Source organism: Homo sapiens, chromosome 1, assembly GCF_000001405.40.
Source record: "Homo sapiens chromosome 1, GRCh38.p14 Primary Assembly".
Taxonomy (NCBI): domain Eukaryota; kingdom Metazoa; phylum Chordata; class Mammalia; order Primates; family Hominidae; genus Homo; species Homo sapiens.
This window is the reverse complement of record NC_000001.11, coordinates 202,838,326-202,840,026: the sequence shown is the minus strand read 5'-3', so window position 1 is coordinate 202,840,026 and position 1,701 is coordinate 202,838,326. Positions and strand designations below refer to the sequence as shown.

Below are 1,701 nucleotides of genomic sequence, written 5' to 3'. Positions count from 1 at the left end.
GTGGCACATGCCTGTAATCCTAGCTACTTGGGAGGCTGAGGCAGGAGAGTAGCTTGAACCCGGGAGGTGGAGGTTGCAATGAGCCAAGATTGGGCCACTGCACTCCAGCCTGGGCGACAAGAGTGAAACTATGTCTCAAAAGAAAAAAAAAGAAAAAAATTGCTAACTTGCCGAGGTTAAGAAATTTGAAATCAGGCTGGGTGCGGTGGCTCACACCTGTAATCCCTGCACTTTGGGAGGCCGAGGCAGGTGGATCATGAGGTCAGGAGATTGAGACCATCCTGGCTAACACAGTGAAACCCCGTCTCTACTAAAAATACAAAAAATAGCTGGGCGTGGTGGCAGGCACCTGTAGTCCCAGCTACTCGGAGGCTGAGGCAGGAGAATGGCGTGAACCCGGGAGGCGGAGCTTGCAGTGAGCCTAGATAGCGCCACTGCACTCCAGCCTGGGCGACAGAGCGAGACTCCGTCTCAGAAAAAAAAAAAAAATTTGTAATAGTGAAATAGTGTTAGGGACTCAAGTTCCTTCACCTCTTTTGAACATAGTAATTTCTTCTTGTCTCATCATTACACTGTAATTTCTTGTCCTCCCTTGCAAGAACAAGGTGGGAGTTCATTTGTTTTATTTTATTTTATTATTATTATTTTTTAGGAGTCTCACTCTGTTACCCAGGCTGGAGTGCAGTGGTACGATCTCAGCTCACTGCAACCTCTACCTCCCGGGTTCAAGTGATTCTCCTGCCTCAGCCTCCCAAGTAGCTGAGATTACAGGTGCCCGCCGCCACGCCCAGCTGATTTTTATATTTTTAGTAGAGATGGGGTTTCACCATATTGGCCAGGGTGGTCTTGAACTCCTGACCTTGTGACCCGCCTGCCTCGGCCTCCCAAAGTGCTGGGATTACAGGCATGAGCCACCACGCCCAGCTAGTTCACTTGTTAATACAGGAGGGAGAAGGGGAATCTCTAAAGTTTCTACATCCCTGTTTGTGACATCAGCACGTACTTCTACAAGCTCCAAGTGAGCTCCAGGAAACAAACCTCCCTAGCTGCCTTGGTGAATTTGTTTTTTTGTTTGTTTGTTTGTTTGTTTGTTTTTGAGACGGAGTCTCGCTCTGTCGCCCAGGCTGGAGTGCAGTGGCGCGATCTTGGCTCACTGCAAGCTCCGCCTCCCGGGTTCACGCCATTCTCCTGCCTCAGCCTCCTGAGTAGCCGGGACTACAGGCGCCCGCCACCACGCCTGGCTAATTTTTTGTATTTTTAGCAGAGGCGGGGTTTCACCTTGTTAGCCAGGATGGTCTCAATCTCCTGACCTTGTGATCCACCCACCTCTGCCTCCCAAAGTGCTGGGATTACAGGCGTGAGCCACCACACCCAGCCAAATTTGAATCAAAATAACCTGAAACTGCTGAGCACCTTTTCTGCCCCTGACTTTAAGGGAACAGAGCAAGTCTGGCAGTTAGGAAAGGGCTTGGGTCTCCTGGGGGAGCTTGCCTGAGTTCAGACTACTTTAATGGTGGTGTGAGCGAGCCGCCTGTGTAACCCCTCCATGCCTCAGTTACCCTACATGGAAAATGAAGTAGAGTCTATCACATTGCGCTGCACAGATAGAGTGCTTAGCAGTGTCGAACACCGTAATTTGTGTACCTCCTGATTTCCACCCTTCTGTGAAATGGTATTCTATTTTACTGATGAGGAAACTGG

General features: G+C 49.7%; 1 annotated feature.

Annotated features, from left to right (window-relative positions):
* Positions 731 to 1,279: an enhancer, noted in NCBI's record as "H3K27ac hESC enhancer chr1:202807876-202808424 (GRCh37/hg19 assembly coordinates)". NCBI's record gives its function as "activates a minimal SCP1, AML or CMV promoter by ChIP-STARR-seq in naive H9 embryonic stem cells {active_cell/tissue: H9 hESC(naive)}" and the evidence as "EXISTENCE:reporter gene assay evidence [ECO:0000049][PMID:30033119]".